This window comes from Homo sapiens, chromosome 15, assembly GCF_000001405.40.
Source record: "Homo sapiens chromosome 15, GRCh38.p14 Primary Assembly".
NCBI lineage: Eukaryota > Metazoa > Chordata > Mammalia > Primates > Hominidae > Homo > Homo sapiens.
The window spans coordinates 98,110,539-98,134,657 of NC_000015.10; the positions used below are offsets into that span (position 1 = coordinate 98,110,539).

A 24,119-nucleotide genomic window follows, 5' to 3' on the forward strand; every position below is an offset into this window, starting at 1 on the left:
CTGGATCAGGGGAACTTCAAGGGACCATCCAGGGTTCTGCACCTCATGACAACCCCAAAGGCCGGGGTTCCCTTTGGAAAATGCCTGAGGCTGCACAGCAGTATTTGGGCCAAATTCACTTACAGGCACGAACATCATGCCTTTAAAACTCCTAGTGTAAGTTTCCTAAGTTTCTTAGAAACTTGGAAATCGTAGAGTAGAATGAATCCTAACTGGTGGGGGCTGCATCACTGCGAAAAGTGAGATAACTTCAGTGGACGGTGACGTGACATCAAATTAAGTCTTCACTTTAAATTTAAAACATATTTTAACTTCATTTTAAGTTTAAAAGAAAGTAAATTACATAGGGAGAACACTTTCAGTCCTGCTTATTAGGGCAAGAAGAGAGTTCCAGTTTGCTGACGCTATTTCTCTAACACCCCCACACCACACACTGATCTTCCTCTTCAACAAACAGGAATGAGGCTTCAGGCTCTGAACCTTGATCAGGTCACTACATCTCACCTGATGTTAAGGATACTTTCTTATTTTTATTTTACTTGGGTTTTTCAACATATAAATCTCTCTGTCTATATATAGATTTTTTCAATATATAAATATGTATTTTTTCAATATCTAAATCTCTATATATGTGTATATATATAAATGTATGTAACTTATACATTTAGAAACTTAAATAAAAGTATCCTAATGTCAGGTCAGATGTAGTGACCTGATCAAGGTTCAGTGCCTGCAGCCTCCTTCGTATTTGTTGAATAGGAAGATCAGTGTGTGGTGCAGGAGTGTTAGAGGAATACATACATATATATATATAAATTTCTCTCTATATATAGAGAGAGTGAATATATAATACATATTTAAGCTTCTAAATATATGTTACATATGTGTGTGTGTAGATATATATATGTGCATATGTGTGTATATATATATATGTATATATATATATATATATAGACAGAGAGAGAGAGAGAGAGAGAGAAGCTTAAAGGGAGAGTCCCCTGGAAGAAAACGGACTGATTAAATCACGAGTGGTACACAGACAGCGGCCTTGATGAGGAGCATTGACCACAGCTGTAGACATGGCTACACAGCAGAAGCATTATTTGAATGATGGACATTTGGGAAACATGGGGAAGTAAAACCTCCTTGTTTCAGAGATGACAAAAGCAAACCAGAGTGAGGCCAAGCACTTTGTTTCATGGAGGTGTGATGGCCCTGTGAGGCCCAGGCACATGGCATAAATTAGGTTCTTACTTTTATTAATAGGATATAATCTGGGGGGGAGTCACTGCTAGCTTCCTCTACAATGTCTGTCTTCCTCTTCCCTCCAGCTACTTGCCCTCGCTATCTGGCTGGATGCAATGCTATTCAGACAAAACACTCCCTCTTTGGTCACCCTCCACACTAAGTATGACAGACGACTATGTTCTAGTCAACAAGCTGAAAACAGAAATGTTTTGTGTAACTTCCAGGAAATCTCTTCACGAGACAAGCACATGCTCTCTTTCCTCCCCTTCAGTCATCTTGCTCTCTGGTACCAGCATGTGATGGCTAGAGCCCTAGGAGCCATCTTGGGCTGTAAGGATGAGGCCACATGTAGCAAAGGTGGAAGCAGCCTGGGAAGCTGATGAATTTATGGACCTGCTGCACCTGCATGTGAGAGAAACATTTGTATTGTGTTTCAGCCCTTTTGATGTAGGGTTTTTCTTCTCCTACGTGCCACCAAACCTAATTTAAACTCATATGTAATAGATCTATATATAGATATATACATATATATGTAATTATATAATATAACCTTTGCCTCTTAATGTAGAATTCTTTAGCATATACAAAAGCCTATAACATCCACTGTTTTGTTTGATCCTCACAAGACCTTAAGAAATAGGCACTTACAATTCTTTTTTAAGAAGCAGATGAAAAAGCTAAGGCCCAGAGCTGGCACAAGACCAGAGGGGTTGATGAGGACTAGGACTTATGGACTAGAGCCCACGCTCAATCTCTGCATCCAACATCCCTGAGTTGGTGAGGCTTATCCTGGGCCTGACTGTTCCTGAGACAACCCACTCAGGAAATCCCCCACCTCAAACAGCATCTGGATTCTCCAAGCAGCATCCTCGGGTGACTTAGGAGAGAACTCTGTAGAATATTCAGTAAAGCAATCCCTCTTTACCTGCCCCCCTCCTGACACACACAGGCCTTTCCTGAGTGACGGTTTAAAGCCATGCTTTGTGCTTTCATTGAGTATTAGAATAAGAAAGTGCCAAGTGCAGACTTCGCACCATTTGTTTTTTACAAATCCACAGTGGCTGCTTCCATACCAGTCACTAAGGTCATGGAGGCTGCTGTGTTTTTCTACCTGAACCAATGAACGTAATTCCTGCAGCAACACTTCTGGATGGGTGGGGATGGGTGGCTAGTGCAGGGCCAGAACAGCCCAATGATTGCACACTCTGGATAGAGCTGGAGAGCCCAGCCCCCTCTGTGTGGCTCAGCAGGTATGGAGCTGCGCTGAGCATTTTTGCTGCTGAGCTTGATAAAGCAATGGAAAGTTTGTAGATTGTTAAGTGAGACTAAATTCCAGGCAGATCTTGAAAAATAGAAGAGCTTCACCCAAGCAGACACATACAATACAAGGCAGCCTGATCAGAAGCCACACCAATCCAAGGAGGCCTGTGCTGCAGAATAGTAGGCCCATAAGCAGCACAGCAGTGAAAGCATGGTGGGTCATTGAGGACCACGGTCTCAAAGCAAGGGAGCCTCCTAGACATGACTTTAAAAGCTAGGATAAATTAGCAGCAGATGCAGGGGCCGGGAATCAATCCTTCTAATGGACTCCATATTGTTGCCTTCCTCATTAGGGTTTCTTACCCAGTTTGTGGTCTCTACATTTTAAGAGAGATGTCAAGACCTGGAGATGGGCCAGAGAAATGCAATAAAAATGATTAAAGGGCAGGGTAATAGGTCTTGGAAAAGATGAGTGAAAAATTAGTGACTGGAGAAGACAAGGCCACAAGTGACTCTAACCATGGCCTTTCCCTGCAAAAAAGGTCAGAAGCATCCGAGCTCCGGAAAACTCACTCCGCACCCTGGCTGCGTCCAATGAATCCAAATGTCTAGGCATTTTGAAATAGCATCTTTTAAAGCTTTTAAAAAATTTTTTCATCCAGCTGGTGTTGTGTTAACCCAGCCTGAATGTAAATCAAGCACAGACATTTGCCTCCGGAAAGATATCTCTACCATGTGTTGGTCTCTGGTTTGGGGTTTCATCAACTAAAATTAACAAAGGAATTTACTGAGCCTAAAATTTTAAATAAAAAGGGCAAGAAGGAGACATTAGAATTCCCAGAGAGGTTGGCGAACAGGCTTCAGAGGGGACATAAGAGAAAAGGAGGGGAAAAAGGCAAAGTCAGAAGTTTTATGGGTCAACTGTGGTTGATGAGCTGCCGTCTTGGGTGAGAAGCATGGCCACCATGGATGAGTAAGCTGTGGTACCTGTCCTCAGGGGAGTCCAAGGGAGTCCAGTGCAGAATGAGAAGTGTCAGGATGGAGTCTGAAGCACAGTGCCAGAGGCATGAGGATAAGAAGCACCCAGCTCCTTCTGGGCAAGGACTCTCTCATTTAGTCCAATGAGGTAGTTGCTTCCTGACCCTGAGTTGTTTGAAATTAAGTCCCTTGCCCCAGGTTGCATGGTCAATAGACAGTGAAATGCCAGCTCCAGGGCCATGTTCCATAGCAATGCAGCCAGGATGAATTTGAGAAAGCAGCTTTAAAAATATCCCTTTTTATCCATTTAAAGTATCATCTCTTAGCTACATGAAGAGAAGCTTACATCATAGAAACCAACCAGAGAGCACTTACTAAAAACTAGCCTCATGTGACATAGTGTAGATGCCCCTGGGGAAACCAGGACATGTGACCACAAGTGACGAAGATCCCCTTGAGGAGAATCAGACATGGAGTGTCATGAACACTTATGGCTCCGAGGCATCACAGAGATTCCACATCACCCACCTCCTCGCCTCCACTCAGTTTTACAAAGGTCCATCTGGGGCCCAGAGAGGTGAAACGACTCAGCCCACAGCAGAACTTCTGAGGGAAGATCCTCTGCTCCAACTGCAGTCTTTTGACTCCAAGTCCAGGGCTCTCTCCAGCACCCAGCATACCTGGCTACAGATGACAGGAACCAAGGAAGGGTGTCAGTCATGAGACAGAAAGCTGTTTCTACCTGGAGAAGGCACAGTGGCTCTGGGAGGAAGACCAGAGGTAGAGAAGAAAAATTATTATACTGAGCTGATGAAAACCATGGGGAATGAGGAAAAAACAATGTCATCAATGAAAATCTTTCCCTCTTGGCCTACACATATTAGAGTTAATCATTAAGAACATCAATATATGCCTTAGAGAAATCAGCCATGATGAAAGCCACTGTGAAACTGATAAAACACATACACACGCACATGCAGCTGTGATCTCTCAGGTTGGCTGGCACTAGGAGAACCCAATAATGCAATGTTCGCTATTAAAGGATGTTAATAACACTCTAATACAGCATTGTGAATAATGCAATACTGACTTTAGAAGTGGAGTCAGAAAACTTGAAAACAGCAGAAAAGGAGGGAAAACCTTCCTTGCAGAATAATTCTCACCCATTCCCACAGGATCCCATGGGTGCTTCTGTGACAGGCCCTAGTGCTTGCCTGCCTAACAGCCATTCCCCTGCCTCCTTGCTAGCATAACCCTGGCTTCATATCAGGACCATGCACTCTACTGAGGGCATGACTCACCATGATCTGGCCTAGGATGGCAATACCATTCCCCGTTGCCTGATGGCTAAGCCCCCAATCTCCCTGGTAATTAGGGGTACCCATGTGATCCACTTCTTACCAATGAGACTTATGGAAACATTCTCCAATCTGGAGGGCTGCTTCAGGTGCACCACATAAGACTTGCCCACTTCTGAGTGAAGCATAATACAGAACTATGTTATTTCTCCTATCGTATAGATCGAGCAAGGCTCTGGCCGGTTTTCCCTCCATCTTTCCTTATGAGACACCATGTTCTATTTATCACCTCCTCAGCTCTCTGCATATTCACCCATCTCTGACACCCCCGCTATGACCATACTGATCATTAGAAAAGTCAGGTGTGCACTCCTATTCAACATAGTGTTGGAAGTTCTGGCCAGGGCAATCAGGCAGGAGAAGGAAATAAAGGGCATTCAATTAGGAAAAGAGGAAGTCAAATTGTCCCTGTTTGCAGATGACATGATTGTATATCTAGAAAACCCCATCGTCTCAGCCCAAAATCTCCTTAAGCTGATAAGCAACTTCAGCAAAGTCTCAGGATACAAAATCAATGTGCAAAAATCACAAGCATTCTTGTACATCAATAACAGACAAACAGAGAGCCAAATCATGAGTGAACTCCCATTCACAATTGCTTCAAAGAGAATAAAATACCTAGGAATCCAACTTTCAAGGGATGTGAAGGACCTCTTCAAGGAGAACTGCAAACCACTGCTCAATGAAATGAAAGAGGATACAAACAAATGGAAGAACATTCCATGCTCATGGGTAGGAAGAATCAATATCGTGAAAATGGCCATACTGCCCAAGGTAATTTACAGATTCAATGCAATCCCCATCAAGCTACCAATGACTTTCTTCACAGAATTGGAAAAAACTACTTTAAAGTTCATATGGAACCAAAAAAGAGCCCGCATCGCCAAGTCAATCCTAACCCAAAAGAACAAAGCTGGAGGCATCATGCTACCTGACTTCAAACTATACTACAAGGCTACAGTAACCAAAACAGCATGGTACTGGTAACAAAAAAGAGATACAGACCAATGGAACAGAACAGAGCCCTCAGAAATAATGCCACATATCTACAACTATCTGATCTTTGACAAACCTGCCAAAGACAAGCAATGGGGAAAGGATTCCCTATTTAATAAATGGTGCTGGGAAAACTGGCTAGCCATATGTAGAAAGCTGAAACTGGATCCCTTCCTTACACCTTATACAAAAATTGATTCAAGATGGATTAAAGACTTACATGTTAGACCTAAAATCATAAAAACCCTAGAAGAAAACCTAGGCAATACCATTCAGGACATAGGCATGGGCAAGGACTTCATGTCTAAAACACCAAAAGCAATGGCAACAAAAGCCATAATTGACAAATGGGATCTAATTAAACTAAAGAGCTTCTGCACAGCAAAAGAAACCACCATCAGAGTGAACAGGCAACCTACAGAATGGGAGAAAATTTTTGCAATCTACTCATCTGACAAAGGGCTAATATCCAGAATCTGCAATGAACTCAAACAAATTTACAAGAAAAAAACAAACAACCCCATCCACAAGTGGGTGAAGGATATGAACAGACACTTCTCAAAAGAAGACATTTATGCAGCCAAAACACACATGAAAAAATGCTCATCATCACTGGCCATCAGAGAAATGCAAATCAAAACCACCATGAGATAACATCTCACACCAGTTAGAATGGTGATCATTAAAAAGTCAGGAAACAACAGGTGCTGGAGAGGATGTGGAGAAATAGGAACACTTTTACACTGTTGGTGGGACTGTAAACTAGTTCAACCATTGTGGAAGTCAGTGTGGCGATTCCTCAGGGATCTAGAACTAGAAATACCATTTGACCCAGCCATCCCATTACTGGGTATATACCCAAAGGATTATAAATCATGGTGCTATAAAGACACATGCACACATATGTTTATTGCGGCACTATTCACAATAGCAAAGACTTGGAAGCAACCTGAATGTCCAACAATGATAGACTGGATTAAGAAAATGTGGCACATATACACCATGGAATACTACGCAGCCATAAAAAAGGATGAGTTCATGTCCTTTGTAGGGACATGGATGAAGCTGGAAACCATTATTCTCAGCGAACTATCGCAAGAACAGAAAACCAAACACCACATCCTCTCACTCATAGGTGGGAATTGAACAAAGAGAACACATGGACACAGGAAAGGGAACATCACACACCAGGGACTGTTGTGGCGTGGGGGGAGGGGGGAGGGATAGCATTAGGAGATATACCTAATGCTAAATGATGAGTTAATGGGTGCAGCACACCAACATGGCACATGCATACATATGTAACTAACCTGCACGTTGTGCACATGTACCCTGAAACTTAAAGTATAACAATAATTAAAAAAAACAAAATTTTCCACAGAATAGCTTCTGGTTCTGTATATTGTAATAACCATTTCTCCTTTACTGACTATATACTTCTAGGACTGGGTGCTGTAGGGTACATTCATAATATAAAAAAAAAAAAAGTCGGGTGTGCTTTGCTCTGATGGTTAAGCACCACCGTCCAGCCCAGTGCTATCAGTAAGCCCATTTCTAGAACAGTATTTATCATCAGCCATGGTTTACAGAAGACAGCTACTATGGAGTTTATCAAATATGCTGCTGCCTTCTCAACAGGGCACTCCTTCATGGCCTTGGTAGGTAAAATGTTCTCATGTTTGTATATCTGTTATATTTAAGGGAAGTTAAACTAGGAAATGTTTTTATTTTATAGACTTCCAAGTATTTTTTATCATCTAAGAAATCTTGATTTGTTTTCTTCTCTTGCATAGAAAGGAAAGATGCTGAAGGATGGGAGATTGTTCAGAGAGGAAGATCTGTTTGTTCTCAAGCAACAGCAGTGATGCCAAAAGTTTCATTAGCAACAGAAGCCTTAAGATCAAAGGATGACAGTAATAAAGAAAATGTATATCTTTTACCTAAAGTACTTTTTTTGGAACATGGGATTTTGGAGTGGCAGGCCTACATATTATATACATAGTATATTCACTCCAGGATGCCTGCTTCTTTGAGCCCTTTTTTTTTTCCTTGAGACAGAGTTTCACTCTTGTTGCCCAGGCTGGAGTGCAATGGCGCAATCTCAGCTCACTGCAACCTCCACCCCATGGGTTCAAGCGATTCTCCTGCCTCAGCCTCCCAAGTAGCTGGGATTACAGGTGCCAGCCACCACGCCCAGCTAATTTTTTGCATTTTTAATAGAGATGGTGTTTCACCATGTTGGCCAACCTGGTCTCAAACTCCAGACCTCAGGTGATCCACCCGCCTCAGCCTCCCAATCACGCCTGAGATTACAGGCGTGAGCCACCATGCCCTGCCTCTCTGAGCCCTTTGATCCTTCTTGTCTTCCCCTGACATGGCAGTGCTAGGACTCCTCCTTCACTTGGTGTATGCTTTTGCTTTCCCCAAGCTTCAAGCGTCATGCTAGCAATGTATTAGCACCGTCTCCCAGGTTCCTAGCCAGAAGGCTACTCCTGTATCATGGACAAATGCTCCCCTATCCATAAACCATTCCTTATCCAATTTTATGTTCTACCTCTAAGCATCTGAGGATCCAGTCCCATACATATTCTCCTACATCCTGCAGTTTCAAGTTGACTAGTCCTTCAGCTCCTTCAAAATATAGTTCCTTTCTTCACTTTGCTGGCCCATCCCTTAGCCAGCCATCTTAGGTTGTGACTGAATCCTATATATTGGTCTGAAGGACAAGACAGAAGGTGGAGGTAGATCTTGGGGGTGGTGGGCAGAGGGGACATTTTATCTGCAAGACAGAGGCCTTTGCATTATCTTGGAGTAAGGGAGGAGAACTAATCTTTAACATGGAAGAGTGGGCTCATACAGGCCCAGAGGGTTGAGGGGATTTTTCTTTTTTTTTTTTTTTTGAGATGGAGTCTTGCTCTGTTGCCCAGGCTGGAGTGCAGTGGCAGGATCTCGGCTCACTGCAACCTCTGCCTCCCAGGTTCGAGCAGTTATCATGCTTCAGCCTCCCCAGTAGCTGGGACTATAGATGCATGCCATCATGCCTGGCTAATTTTTGTATTTTTACTAGGAATGGGGTTTCGCCATGTTGGCCAGACAGATCTCCAACTCCTGGCCTCAAGCGATTCGCTTGTCTCAGCCTCCAAAAGTACTGGGATTACAGGCATGAGCCACCGTGCCCGACCTAGGAAACAGGATTTTTTAGTACATCAATGCAGATGTCCCATCCCAATTCTCAGGGAGCCTAACCTAATCGGGACCCTGACTGTTTCAAACCAGACCTGTCTTCTCAGTGCTTCCTCTACTCTCATAATAAGTTCCAGGTCTAATCCTGGGTTTTTTTCTGCCCTCTGCCTAGAGCAAGTCTCTTTAAAAGCTGTCAGAGATGCCTTCCAGTTTCCACACTGAGCCTTAAGTTGGTGATTGATCACTCACAGCCTTTCATTGTCTCGCTGCAATATATTGATGGCCCCATCCATTGATAACCATCCAATCCCATAGTCCTTATGATTTCTAACTTTTAAAGTTTGACTACACTGTTTAATGCCTTAGACTTTGTGCCCACCATGCATTCCCTTCCTCTGGCAGCCCCACCGAGGCCCCTACTCTGCCAGAACCACACTACCCCATGCCTGTAGCAATCAGGACTCCATTTACCACCAGGAATGGGCTTTCATTACCATCTGATCCAGCTCCAAAATCCCATTTTAAAATCTGCTTCCTCATCCCACTGCTGGCATCAACTGCTGTTGCTCAGATTCCCAGGAAACAGGCTTTGAGATGGAGAGTCAGGCACAGAGGCTTTGGGAGCAATTGCACCAGCATCCTCAGAGGATCTCACAAGGAGCTGTGAGGCTGGGGTGGCTCTGAAGCTGAGTTATCCTAAATCAAAGCAAGGTCACTGATATAGTTTGGCTGTGTCCCCACCTAAATCTCATCTTGAATTGTAGCTCCCATAATCCCCACATCCCTGAGGGACCCAGTGGGAGGTAACCGAATCATGAGGGCGGGTTTTTCACATGCTGTTCTCATGATAGTGAATAAGTCTCATGAGATCTAATGGTTTTATAGAGAGCAGTTCCCCTGCACAGACTCTCTTGCCTGTCACCGTGCAAGATGTGTCTTGCTCCTCCTTCACCTTCCACCATGACTGTGAGGCCTCCCCAGCCATATGGAACTATGAGTCTATTAAACTTCTTTTTCTTTATCAATTACCCAGTCTTGAACATTTCTTCATAGCAGTATGAAAATGGACTAATACAGCCACCAGGCCTTTGTGCCACTCCATCAACCAGTCTTTGGATGCAGGCTGCCCCCAGGGAGTGGACTAGCCTCCCTTGGATGAGACAGCTCCAATTAGACAAAGACAGGGCAACTCCTGCTGAGGCACACGCTATGAGTCATCAGCAGGCAGTGGTCAGCTGGAGCGATGAGTGCCTTGATTTTTCAAGGGAGATTCAGGCAACACACAACAACATCCACTACAGCCTCTTAGTCTAAAAGACCTCGATGAAACACAAAATCCATACCATGGGGTGAAAATAAGTAAAGTCAATCAGAACTACAGGGAAATGAGGAAAGAGGAATAAAATAAAATCACATTTGGCACACAAAATTTACCCCAGGGATGCTACACATCTATAAAACATGAGCCACAAACATGAATCTAAGATTCCCAGTGACAAGAGGGAAATGCGGTCATTTCCAAGAGTTACAAGATCCACAAAACAAAAACCTTCCATATGTTTTTCTTGACACTAAGGTCTGAGAGGTGTTTGTTCTCTGGGTCCTGCTACAGTGTGAGCCTTGTGATGTGGACGAGAACACCAACATCATCCCTGTGGTCAATACAATAGCAAGAATGTCAGAGCAACTTCTCAGAGCACACCTAGAAGCTCACCTCAGATGCAGCCCCAAAGAGCAGCGGCTAAACAACTTGAAAAGTCTGTGCCTTCCCTTAAACAGCCTTACTGTACATGAAACATTTCCCAGGCAATTTCGTCTTAGATTCCACCTTCACAGAGAGAAATGTATGAAAACATTTTTAGAACACCTGTCCGTCCGTTGGTAAATTTTTTTTAAAGTGGGTACAATAATTGCAATAATCTATTGCGTTTTTGAAACATTTGTTCAGCAAACAGTCTTTTTAAAAAACAAATCATTTTCATTTGGCTGGTGATAAATTAAGCCTTTTATGCTCATAGAAAATGTTTTTTTGTTTTATTTCCAAATCTCTCCCTGTCGACATTCAGAGAGACATATTTATGGAGAAAGCAAAACAGATGATCTGGCCACGTTGCTGAAGGAGGGCCACATCTGTCTCTAAGTACCCTGAGCCACTAACCGGGATAAATCTTTCTACCACAGAAACATTACAACACCAGGCTTCTGAGCCTCCTTTCCAAATGGCCTGCGTTTCCAGCTTCCTTTTCCTCCTACAGACACTCACCTGGGTCTCAGTCACTCTCCCAGCCCCCAGCATATCGTGACCCCTGTTCCTCTTTCTCCTTGAAATTCTCCAGAGCTCACTCACTTGCATCTGCTCTTCCTTCACAAAAGAACATACCTACAGTCCTTTCCAATTTGAGGTCAAGTTCCTTCTCCATAAGCAGTATTCTCCCAATATTTTGCTGCTTTTCAAATTCATATTTTCCTACTTTGAAAGGACTCTGACCTCCACCATGAGTCCAAGCGTACATGATGAAATTTAAAACATTTCCCCATTCACCCGCTCCTTCACCTTTCAGTGATGTCACATAAACAGGCACTCTAGAGACAAGCCCAGGGCCTTGCCACTCCCCATGTGCTCTCTCCAGGAGACAAGACCAAGGCCTGTTTATTCCACTTAAATCAACAGAAGAGCTATCCTCAGGCTGCAGTCCTGCCCTGGCCAGCCAAATTTGGAATCCACATGGCATGCAAAGTCTGTTTAAACGAGACAGCCAGAGGGATCATCTTCAGGCTATATGGGGGAGAGGAGGGCCGTGTGGGTGGAAAAGAGCATGGATGGGTCTTGGATTTAAACAAGACTGATTTTGAAGTTTCCCTTATCTTTATCTTTCTAGGTTTCACTTTTCTAATCTGTTAACAAAGATGTTCAAGCCTACCATTCAAATTTGTTGTGAAGATTAAAGGAAACACTGTCTTCTTAGTTTGGGTCCTACTTTAGCAGATCATGAGACAAAGATTCACATGCAAGTAGTTTATTTGGACATAAATTTGTATTTGCTTACTAGGGCTTCCATAACCATGTACCATGGATTGACTGGCTTATATACCGAAATTCAGTGTCTCACACTTCCGGAGGCTGGAAGTCCAAGATCAAGGTGTCCACAGAGTTGGTTTCTGCTGATGCCTCTCTCCTTAGCTTACAGATGGCCATCTTCTCTCTGAGTCTTCATAGGGTCCTCCCTCTGTGCATTTCTGTGTTTAAATTTCTCTTATAAGGACACCAGTTCTATTGGATTAGAATTCATGACCTCATTTTAATTTAATTACCTCTGCAAAGATGATATCTCCAAACACAGTCACATATGGGGGTACTAGGGGTTAGGATATCAACACATGAATTTGAGAGGACACAATTCAGCCCATAACAGCTCCCTAACCCCCACCTCCCCACAAACAAACAAATGGTAGGGAATGTGGAAATTAAACAGGGAACAGAAAGATGCCACACTGAAGTCTATGCTATGGAGTCGGTTACTGCTCTCCGCAACTGGAATTCAACCTCACTGAAGAATCTTAAGAGATGGCAAGTCCATAATTAGCCTGAAAATTATCCCAACTCCCTGCTTCTCATGGGTTGAAGGTAGTGTTTCCATGTGGGAATTCCCTCCTGGAATTTCTCAGAAGGTTTTTATATCCTAAACCCCAAATCCCAAGAAAAATCATGTGAGAGTTCAAGGACATGGGAAACAGAATTGTAAATATTAACAACCAACAAAGAACTATCACTGGTCCTAACAAACCCACTGAGTCAGGTCTAAAGCAACAGCAGGGAAGGCTGCCATGGAGAGTGGAAGGTGAAGGTCACACTTCCTGGAACCAGGACAGGAGCACGCAGCGGAGAAACATCACATCTAACCAGTCAGCAGTCAGCCTTCTTCACACAGTGGCCATGTGACAAGGGTGTGTTCCTGGTCCTGGTTGCTGCTCATGCCATTCTTGCAATTACAATAAATATTAATCAGTTCTTATGCTTCATGTGCCTCATTCAAAACATATGAGTGGTGCTGGTGTTTCAAACAATAACGAGGAAGCAATCAAAGAAGTCCTTAAATTGGCCATTTTGACATGTGGTTCTGTGTAGTGCTGTTAACCCTGCTAGAACGTTGAATGTTGTGTTACACAAACACTACCCCATGTTTTCTAGCATTTGAATATTTGCCATAGGCTATGATTCTTTGTAGATACAACTAAAGCACCTTTAAAAATACTATTAAAATACTAAATACTACTTTCACTTTGTAAACACAACTATAATGCAGAATAATTTATGATTTTAGGAGTTCCCAGGAATTTAGATGTCTTATCCTCGAATCCCTAAGATAAGTAATGTGTCAGGAATTTAGATGTCTTATCCTCGAATCCCTGAGATAAGTAATGTGTCAGGAATTTGGAAATGCTAGTTACTGGGTATGCCCAGAGCCATTAATCCCCTGGCTCAGAGCTCATCCTGTGGGCGAGTCTAGACCTGCTCCAGGAGGCAGATGAACATCCCCTGACAGGGGCTCTGGCATTCTCAGGGAGCACCCCTAGGTGGACAGGGGATTCTGGAAGAATCCGGCAGGACACCAGCAGCACTGACTCTAAGTGCCTAAGACGGTACCAGGCACAGGTCTCAGGACCGCCCTGGGCAGTGCTCCATCACAGCTCGGTATCACCAGGGGATCCTTGGCAATCCTTCCCCTGGGGCCCTCCTCATGTTGTCCGGCAGCCCAAACGTGTTTTGATGGGTTCACACTCCCCTGCCCCTATGCCATCCATATCTGACAATCTGCCAACCTGCTTCAGCCTGATAATCCTGCTGACTCTGGACCATTTCATCCTTAAATCTCATGCAAAGATGCTTCACCTTCACCTGCTCCAGGAGGTTTTGCGGGCTCAATCAGAAATGGTTTTTTTCTCCCTCATTTTTTCTTCCAAAATAAATCCTTCCTCACTCCGTTTCTAAATCTAGTGTTCACAGCAGCGTCTTCAAACTCAGGCATGGGAAACCCCCTCCTCACTTGTAAAATCGCATTTCTAGGGCACATGCCCTCATGAGCCCTGGAGCTGGCATTTGAGAAACTTCTCCAGGTGCTGTCTGATCCTTTGAAAGGGCCTTTGGTGGGAGACCTTCCCTGAAGCAGGGGGTTGCATGCTTTTCATGTGATTCAGAATGCCCTTGGGAGGATTTGTAAGGCAAGATTGCTAGGGAACACTCTCAGTAATGCTGACTTAAAAGGTTTGGAGCATATTTAGTGTTTTATCCCACTGCACTGGTGGTTCTCAGGCAAGTGGCCAGGAAGCGTATGGCCCTCCACGTGGCCTTCCTTTGGCAGCGTCCTCATTTGCTCTTCGAGAAATCGGCAGCCACCATGCCCAATGCCCCTTCACCTCCCTGCATCCTCCCACTGCCGGCTCAGTCAATGCAGCTATGGATATACTCTGCCTCCTTCTAAGGGACTTCCGCTTGCAGGTGACAAGCTTTTCCCCATCATGTGGATAACTATGCCACAAACATTAATCATTAAAATCTTATCCTACATAGTGCTTAACTCTGAAACTCAGTGCATCAAGCTGGGTCCAAGAGGCAGAAACCTGATGAGTAATGGAAAGATGCTGAGAAGATGGACTGTCCTGTATGGGACAAGGAGAAATTTAATATAAAGAATTGTTCTCTATGATACCAGAGTGGCTGTAAATATGAAATGAGGACTCTAATAGGACCCAAGGAAGGGCAGATTTCCCTCAGGCTGGTGTTCAGGCCTCATAGGAGAAGGTGTGGCTGCAGCCAACTGGATGATGGAGGAGTTCACCAGGATGCCTAAGCCAGAGCTGCCCCACAGCTACCAGGCAAGCGGGAAGCAGCCCTCCAGGGTGCAGGCTGGTGGATGGGCACAGAATGGGTCACGGTGCTGGCAGTCCACCCATAAGGAGAGAATGCAAGGCCTGGGCATGTGTGTGTGTGTGTCTGAACTGGGAGTGCTCTGGGAAGGTGGTTGATGGGCCAGGACAGGCAGCAAAGATGCCAGGGGTCTGTGCACTCTGGCCGCAGGGCTAGGGCACACCAGATGGCCCCGACAGCCACATCCCTGACTGATCCTTGCAGTGGGAGCCAGGAAAAAACAACAAAAACGCAGCTACTGGAACCAGAAAGAGGTGCCCTTCCTCCTGCAATGACCCTCCAGTCCCCTCTGCTGACCAGGCTCACTATGGTGTTCACTGTGAAGGAAAAAACATCCATTATGGCCCAGGAGGGACTGAAGAGAGAATTTGCAATTGAGAGGATGTAAGGTGATGATCACCACAGTTACGAAAACGCTGAAGGAATCTGCATCCTGGCACTTTGAGAATTACCCAATCCGAAAATATTTGATTTTCTTTTGTAAGACTGCAGACCCCATAATGCAAATCTATTATATGGGGAAAATAGAATCCAGCAAAGGGTTCCTCTTCAAATAGGGCTCTGGTTTAAAAGGGGTTCCTCAGCAGCTGTGCCAAGACATAATTTTTCTAAGATGGAGAATTTTTTTTTTTTTTTTGAGACAGAGTCTTACTCTGTTGCCCAGGCTGGAGTGCAGTGGCACAATCTCGGCTCACTGCAACCTTAAGATGGAGAATTTTAATCAAAATATTACCTCTCTCTTCTTCAATCTCTCTCTCTCTCTCTCTCTCTTTCTCTCTCTCTCCTCCCACTTCCCCCTCTTCCCCACCACTGCCCCCCCTCACACACACACAGCACACACACCACAGGTAAGCCAGGAAAGGAGTCCTGGGCCTAGAAATAGGAAATCTGCTACCCTCTCAGTGAAACCAGTAGTAAATCCAGAGGGTACTGCGCCACATTCTCTCATTTGAAATGCAGGCCTGGCTTCAAACACCGGATGGTTGGACCCTGTGACCAAATGTACACATTAGGCAGCTGTTGGTTTCAAGTAACAGAATACTTAACTAAGTGTGGCTTGAAATCCAGAGATCTGAGGGCAGGCCCTGGGAGGACTGATTCTGTGACTCAAAAATATCAGAGCACTGGGTCAACATCTCTGGAAAAAAAATGTCTTGTTCCTCATGTCATAAGATGGCTACAGATCTCAAAGCATTACATCCTCACATACGATTGCTCAAAACGAACAGGATGGGAGCAAGAAGTGTCTTCTTCTGGACTCTGCTTTATTGCCTTAGGAGGAAGAATTTTACCCAGAATACCCCAGCTGACTTCCCATAACATCTCATTAGCCATGATGGGGAGGTCACATTTTCACTTCTACACTGATCGCTGGCCAAGGGCATGGCATTGTCATGACTGGCTGACACCGTTCATGACTCATGTCTGAGACACGGGCACATTCACTCCAAACAGTAATAAAGACCCATTGGTAAGCAAGAAAAGAATCAGCTGACAGGAGGCAGCCAACAAGACCTTACACACATTTTTGGTTTGTTTCTTGAGATAGGGTCTCCCTATGTTGTCCAGGCTGGTCTCAAGCTCCTGCGCTCAGGGTCCATAGCAAACATTTTATGACACCCTCTCCTCTCCTCTCTACATTGTGAAAGTGTTAAGAGAGCAATTATGTGCGGAAAGTCAATGCCACATTTTAAAAACTGAGTTTTCAATTACATGAAAATACTGCTGTTGGAAATTAGAAATCAAGCTCCCTTCTGCAATCCAGATAAGAATCCCTCACAAGCTATAAATAGTTGCTCATAGAAGGGCTCTGAACTGGATGCTTTAGTCAGTTTTTTAAAAACAGTACTTAATTCTTCAATGAATTATAATAACTGTCCCCCAGAGATAAAGACGAAAGGCAGGAGAAACCAAAATAAGTGAGCTCAAGAGGGGCTCTCTTGCCTCTTTCTACAGTGTCCTTCCTGGGGTTCCTTCATTCCTCTGAGATCACAGTTGTAGTCATCCACCCATCTGTCTAGTGAAGGAAAGCCCTGGAGAATAGGGTCCTTGCTTTCTTCTGTTTGAAGGACTGACTTGTAGAGTATCTTCATCCTTCCTGGGGGAGATTGCAGCAGAAGACGTGGCCTCACCACCTCCTCTCCCAAGTACTTTATTCCTCTTCTTGGCTTCTTTTCTTTAACTCGTTCCCTCTCCCCTTGCTTCCCCTTCCTCATTAGCATTGGTCATTAGCATTTTCCCTGCAGTTCTGAAATACTGCTCTCCTGTCAAGCCTGAGGCCCCCTGCAGCATGAGCGATGACATCGGTGTCCCTTTCACCCAGCAGGAAGTTGGCACTTGCCCTTCTCATTGCCCCACCCTGACACATTGTGGGGTGTCATCTCATAACACTCTTGCAGCTGCCTATCTATTTACATGGTGACCCGGGGTCCTGCTCATAATTAGGAACCCTGTGGCCATCATACACAGGATGGTGGCAGAGACAAAGCAATTTAGGAAAAAAGCAAGGATTTTGAAGTCAAGCAAATCAGCTCCAAGTCCCAGTTCTGCCTCTCACTAATTATGGGTATGGTAGATTAAAGATGGTTGAAATTTTTTGCTCTCCTCCCATTGAGAGATGGAGTCTAATAACCCTCCCATCACGTGTGGACTGGCTTGAGTGATCAGCTTGATCAACAGCTTATTGTAGATGTGACAATCTCAAACTTCTGAGGCCAGGTCATGAGAAGTCTTGCAGACTTTTGCAACTCACACTCTGGGGGAAGCCAGCTCCCATGCAAGAAGTCTGATTACCCTGAGACCACCACACTGTGAAGCTATAGGGAGAGAGATTGAGGTCAGAACAGCCCAAGCACATGTGTGAAAAAAGTGCACTTGAATTCCAACCCCAGCAAACCTGAAATGAAGAAAACCTGAGGAATCTAACCGGCATCCAGAACCAAGCCACCAGAACCACTTATCTGGTTGACACCTCCACGTGACACCTCCAGGCATTTGAGCCAAACTAGCTGAGACCTCAGTCACTGTGGAACAGAAATCAGCCACCCCATTGTGTTCTGTCTGTGTTTTTTTCTAAGTTGAATGATCTTCTTGGGCAGCCTCCTGAGCACAGACTCCTGAGCACAACAGAACGGTAGTTGTTTTACACAGTTAAGTTTGGGACACACATTTTGCCGCAGTAGATAGCCAGAACTAGGGGCACTAGCCAAATCCTCAACCTCTCTGAGCTTCCATTTCTTCATCTATAAAACGGGGCCAAGGATAGCACCTACCTTACTTGTATTATCTATGGATTAAGTAAAACAATGACCCTCAAAGAGTAGCCCAGTGCTTAGTATATGACCGGCAATGATTCTACACTGGTGCCTTGACATAAGATAAAAACATATTCTAAGCACTATGTGTTAAGCTCCTAGTTAGGAGCTATGAATGACGGCTCATAACGCCTCCTCCATTCTTGGGAGCTGACTGGCTTATGAGTGTCTCCTGAGATGTTGAGCACCAATCAGGCTGCCCAAGAGATCATTCAACTTAGAGAAAAATCTCTGCTAAACTGGAAAATGAGATCAACAGGAAGTACGGAAGATGACAACATGTATGAAGTAGCATTATCTACGACTTCAAACCCTTTAGTACTGTTTATCATGAGGGCTAATTCTATGTGTTCACTTGGCTGCATCATGGTGCCCAGATATTTGTTCAAACATTATTCTTTATGTTTCTGTGAAGGTGTTTTTTAGATGAGATTAACATTTAAATTGGTGGACTCTGAGTAAAGCCGATTGCCCTCCCTAACATGGTGAGTGTCATCCAATCATTCGAAGGCTTTAATAGAACAAAGACTGACCTGCCCCAAGCAAGGAAGAATTTTGCCACCAGGCGGCCTTTGGAGTCCAACTGCAACATCCACCCTTCCCTGGGTTTCTACCCTGTTGGACTACTCTGCAAATTTTGGACCTTCCAGCATCCATTATTGCATAAGCAATATACACATATATAATATATACACATGTAACGTACACATAATGAGTCTGAAAGCCGAGGTGGAAAAAGCATTCAAGTCGCAGGAATAGCATATGGAAAGGTTTGGGACCAAGAGAAAGCAGAGTATATTCTAAAACCTTCTGCATTTTAATAGGCAGGTGGGAATGGCAAAAACGATGTGGGAAAAGTAGGTAGAAGGCAGATAATACAAGCCCTTTTGTGGTAGGTAGGACTTGCAATCTTCAGTACCAATAGGGATCAGGCAAGTCATGAAGAATTATATTGAAAACAGAAAAGATTAATGAAATCTGTAACCAATGTGCTGTTCCCGTTTTAATGAAAAAGCTTCCAAAATTCATATTACAAATGAATATTGACCTGGTGAAATAACAGACATCTACTGGTCAGAGGGTATCTTCAGGCCACCGGTTTAGATGATGAGAAATACTGGAAGTTTTTGAAACAATAGAATCATAGGATCAGATTTGGGTTTTGGGAAGACCATTCTGGTAGAGATTGCTAAGATAGAGGCAGAATAGGGTGGGCTTAAAGGGAAGAAGAGCCACTCCAAGAAGGGGCTATTGAGACTTCCAGGTAACAGATGCTAAGGTCTAAACCAAGGCAGTGGTGATGGGCGTGGAAAGCAGGGACAGATTCTACAGCTCCTTCAAACTTAGAATCAGTGACCGCAGAGGAAGAAATGCAATTCTCATAAAGATTTCTATTATGTCCAAATTTGCAGCACATCATTTGAAGGAGTCATAGGCATATTTCTTTATATATGTCAAAAGCATTAAGACATGCAGCCTTTTCTGCAGTTCAGCCTGAATAAAACAGGTTGTTTTTAAAGACCCAATGTGTAAAAAACACTATCTTTTGAAGCATTAAATCAGATTATAATGTAACCAACTCTCTTCTCCAGTTTCTAGTTTTCCTAACCCAATCACTGTTTTGCTGGGTGAAACATCTCCATTAAGTCACCCATTTCTCAGCCTAGAGATGCAAGAAGTAGATGGTAATCAATGTTGCATAACTGCTGAGTGTAATAACAGAATGAAGAAAGGAGTCCCATTAGCAGGGCCACCTCATTAGCATTCATTATAGCCAACAATGCCATGCTCCTCACCTCCTCTTTATTAATGGGTTAACCTACGGCCATCAGCCTGCGTATATCATTGCATAGTAGCTTTCTGTAAGGCACAGCTAGCTCATTTTTATCATTTCACAAAAGTTCTGCTAGTGGCAATAAAGTCCTTTTGCTGACAGCCCTTGTGTTTTATTAAGGCAGTAAGCATTGGCAGACACATGAGGCTGGAGTTCTATGCCCAGTGCAGATCACAGTAGGACAGGTGCCAGGCTGGGCAGCAGGCCCCAGCTCATCTCCTGCAGGACACTCAACCAGTCATGGCTGAGCCCATATGGAGCCTGTACTCATCTGCTATCCCAGGTGACCTTAGTGACCTGAGATGTAAGCATCCTATTAGAGCTTTACCTCCATGGTCTCCTTTTAAAAGAAAAAAATCAAAAAAGCTAGAACATATTATTGGTATCTACCTACATCCCCCCAGCACTCACCACCTGGTATATGCCCAGGAATTCTTACTGTTAGCACCTTTGATTCTTTGCATAGGGCCTTCCTTGGCCACAGGAGCTTGCCACCTGATTGCTATTAATCTTCTTACTAATGGAACCTGTTTGTGGGAAGAAATGTGTCTAGCTCTAGGGCAGAATGGAAATGTCATGGAACTAATGTTCCTCCCTGTGAACAGCTCTCAACAATCCCACATGGAAGTTGGAGGATAAATACCCCAGCTCTCTCACCCTTTGGATGAGACAACCTGGGGGCATGTTCTACACAGTATCCCAGAAGACCACAGTGGGATGAACTCTGGCTGCCCAGAGTGGTAATTTGCTTCTTAAGGCATCCTACAGTGTATTCCTTCCCTTTCCGGTCTTACTTACAGTTAGGGGAGGACTTGGAGGTCCTGACTCAAGGAAATACTTTGTGCTTCCTGAGATCTCCTCCTAAATGAACAACTTGCATCCAAACCTTCCTTTCAATGTCATCTTCTGGGGAAGCCCAACAACTAGAGCTATGAAGAGTTTTTCATTGACTTCAGATCCATTCCTGCTCTACAATTTTGCTTCCTAAATATTGCACAAATGTGTCTCCTTCTCTACCAGCCCACTGTTTCTGAGTTCAGAACCTCATCCTTTCCCACTGTGACACAACAATGGCCCCTTAGTTTATCCAACTCTCCTCTTCTATGGTCCCTTCCCATTTACCTACCCTACTGCTGCAAGAGTGATTTCTCTGGCAACAATAGAGTATACACATGGTTCAATCTTTCAACATTTTCCCACTAACTATGGGAAGACTTTCAGACCCCACAGCCTAGCCTACAAGAGCCTCATTGATTTGGTCATGCCTTCCATGTCCAGCCATCATACTCCCATCACAGAAGTTTGGAGTCAGATGTTCTCCACTGAGCCCTTTATTTTTCCCCTATTGACGCTGTCTTATGATCCCACTGGCCATTATTTATTGAGAGCCAGCTGGGAACATACTGCTGACTGCCTACATTGTTCTAGAAAGCTTTGCCTTTCTCCTAGTGGCCATGTAGGTTTTATGGAATGCTGAGCATCTGTTTGGTCTTTTGCTCTTAAACCTAGGAGAGGATTCTACTCCAAACTGTCCGGCCGAATGATGCAAGATGCTGAGTGTCCCCACGGAGAATATCAGAAGGGACATCATAAGACAAGCATTTCTCAACAGGGGCAAAGTTCACAGTGGCAGTCTCAAGGCTCCCCTGTTAATGTCTAAGGAGGTCATAGTAGTAACAGAAGGCTGACCTTGGAAAAAGAGTTGTAAAATGCTTTGATGGGTGAGGGCATTTTTCCCCCTATGATTTCTTTAAAAACATGGTAGAAAGGATCAATCCCTTGCTCTCAGAATGTGGCAGACTTGGCAATATCAACAAAATTACTTAAAGACTTTCTAATCAGGCAAGTTTTATTTCTCTTTGTTACCTTGGAATCTAAAGAGTCATGGTTCTGAACAGAGAGTCCTGAGAGCATATTTTCCACATACACACACACACACACACACACACACACGCACACACACACATGCACACACACACACACACACATGCACACACACACGTTTCTTTTCATTGCACCATCACAATAACTTGTTGAGGTACTTTACTCAGTTTCCTTGTCTCTAAAACAGAGAAAACTATCTAACTGGAGCATTTTGAAGATTAAGGGAATTAATGTAAAACACTTAGAGCAACATCAGGCACATAAGGGCTACAGCTCACCTTTTTTATTTTTAACATCATCATCCTCAGCAACAACATCCCAAGTTCTAAAATAAAGAAACTAACACATTGAGAATGAAATAATTTGACCAAAATCAAAAAACTGGTGAGTGTCAGAACAGGAATGAACCACACCCATGCCTGTCTGCGACATTGCCCCTCCAACCAGAGCTGAGCTTGTCACAGGCCAATGGCCTCCCAGCCCTTGGCACCTTTTCACAAGTTACTCCTTCTGTCTGGCAAACTCGTACTGATCCGTTAAGACAGCTTTTCTGTGTTCCTGCGGAACCATGGTATCTGATTGACTACCAGAAGGTGAACTGTTTTGGAGTCCTTCCCTGCTCTTTCTTAATTATCTTTCTATTCCCAGGTCATTGAAGAGTACCAAGCATATGGTTAATCTCCAAATACACATTGGATAAATGTGTATATGAATATATAAGTATATGTATTTATCTCATGGTGAAGATGTTGGCTTCATGCAAGAGAATGAGATGAAAATTTGTTTCATTTAGGAACCCTGGTGGAAACGTGGGATTAAACTACTCTAATGGCCACAATTTACCTCATGACTGAGCTGTTGAGTGTGAGAGCCAGGACTATGGAGGCTTGGTGGTAATGGGGGAAAGGGTTTAGGGCCAGTCATTCTGGAAGGCTCTATAATAGATTATTTCTAGAGAAGAAATGAATATTTCTACAGAAGAATGAATATTTTATTCATTCACTCACTCATTCATGTGTTTATATTTGTTCGATAAATATTTATATCTCCTACAGTTAAATCCTCCTAGAATATCTCTGCCCTTCCTGGTTGCAGAAAAGGCTTGGCAAAAAAAAATAAAAGAGACAGACTTTGAAATAATTTGAGACATGGAATCAGGTCCTTGGGTAAATCATTTAACCTCTTTAAACGCTGGCTTCTGAATAACAGCTTCCATCTACTGGGGGCCCATGAAATGGTCCTGGGGTATTTGCACACCAGCTGTTTGATCCTCTTAAGCCTTTGATGCCTATCTATCAAGGATATTTGTGCCAGGACTAGGGACAATGAACTTACGGCACTTAGAACCAACCAGGCAGGTAGGGAGTATTCATCTCCTATTATTCAGAAGGGATGTCAATCAGTATGCAAACTGTGTCTCCAGCCCACCACTACTAGCTTGCACCCCAGGGCTGGTCTGTGCCATGACGTCTTGAGGGCCAACACCCACCCCGTACTTCCCACCAAAGAACCATAATGAAATCTAAATTGAACTGTCCTACACACCTGCTCACGGAGCACTCATTGGCTCTGTTCTCCCAGGTTGGGCTTCTATTGAGTCTTGGCAGCTTTTGTTAAAATAAATGTTTCTCCTCAACTCAGGTGGATAAAGAATTGAATGCAACAGTTCACGAGTTCATGGTTGCTTGAGGTCAAGTCCAATGGGAAGGGCAGGAGAAGTTCAGGAAGACTCAGCAGGAGGAGATTCCAGGCAGCAGAAATTCTCACAAACCCAAAGTGGGCAATGCCACAGAGCTCACAGTCCTGGACAGACAGGAGACCCAGGCAGGGCTGCAGATATGGGCTTCAGGGTCCAGACCTACTCTCGCCCATGAGCCCAAGAGACTCAGAGAGAGGTTTCCAGTGTGCCACAGGGAAAACCAACTAAGCTTCGAGTACTGACTGTGTGCCAGGCAGTGGGTGAGATGTAATACGTGCACTACATTTTATTCTCCTTAACAACCCAATGAGTCTGAGTTTATCGCTTTACAAGGACCACCCCAAAGTTCAGAGAAGTGAGAAACTTGCCTAAGTCCCACAGCTAACAAGCAACCATGCTGGGAGTGAATCCCAGATCTGCCTGACTCCACAGCACACAC

At 44.0% G+C, this 24,119-nt stretch overlaps 1 long non-coding RNA gene across 2 annotated transcripts; it reads right to left on the reverse strand.

Moving 5' to 3' along the window:
* Positions 1-1,242: 1,242 nt before the first annotated feature.
* Positions 1,243-21,973, reverse strand: LOC105371010 (uncharacterized). 2 transcript variants are annotated; one of them, XR_932698.4, is made up of 3 exons: positions 20,896-21,973; positions 4,015-4,170; positions 1,243-1,650 (listed from the first exon to the last, which is right to left on the reverse strand). It is a non-coding gene; the product is annotated as an uncharacterized LOC105371010 (long non-coding RNA). The 2 variants fall into 2 exon arrangements; XR_932699.4 differs by having other exon boundaries at positions 4,015-4,248.
* Positions 21,974-24,119: the final 2,146 nt, after the last annotated feature.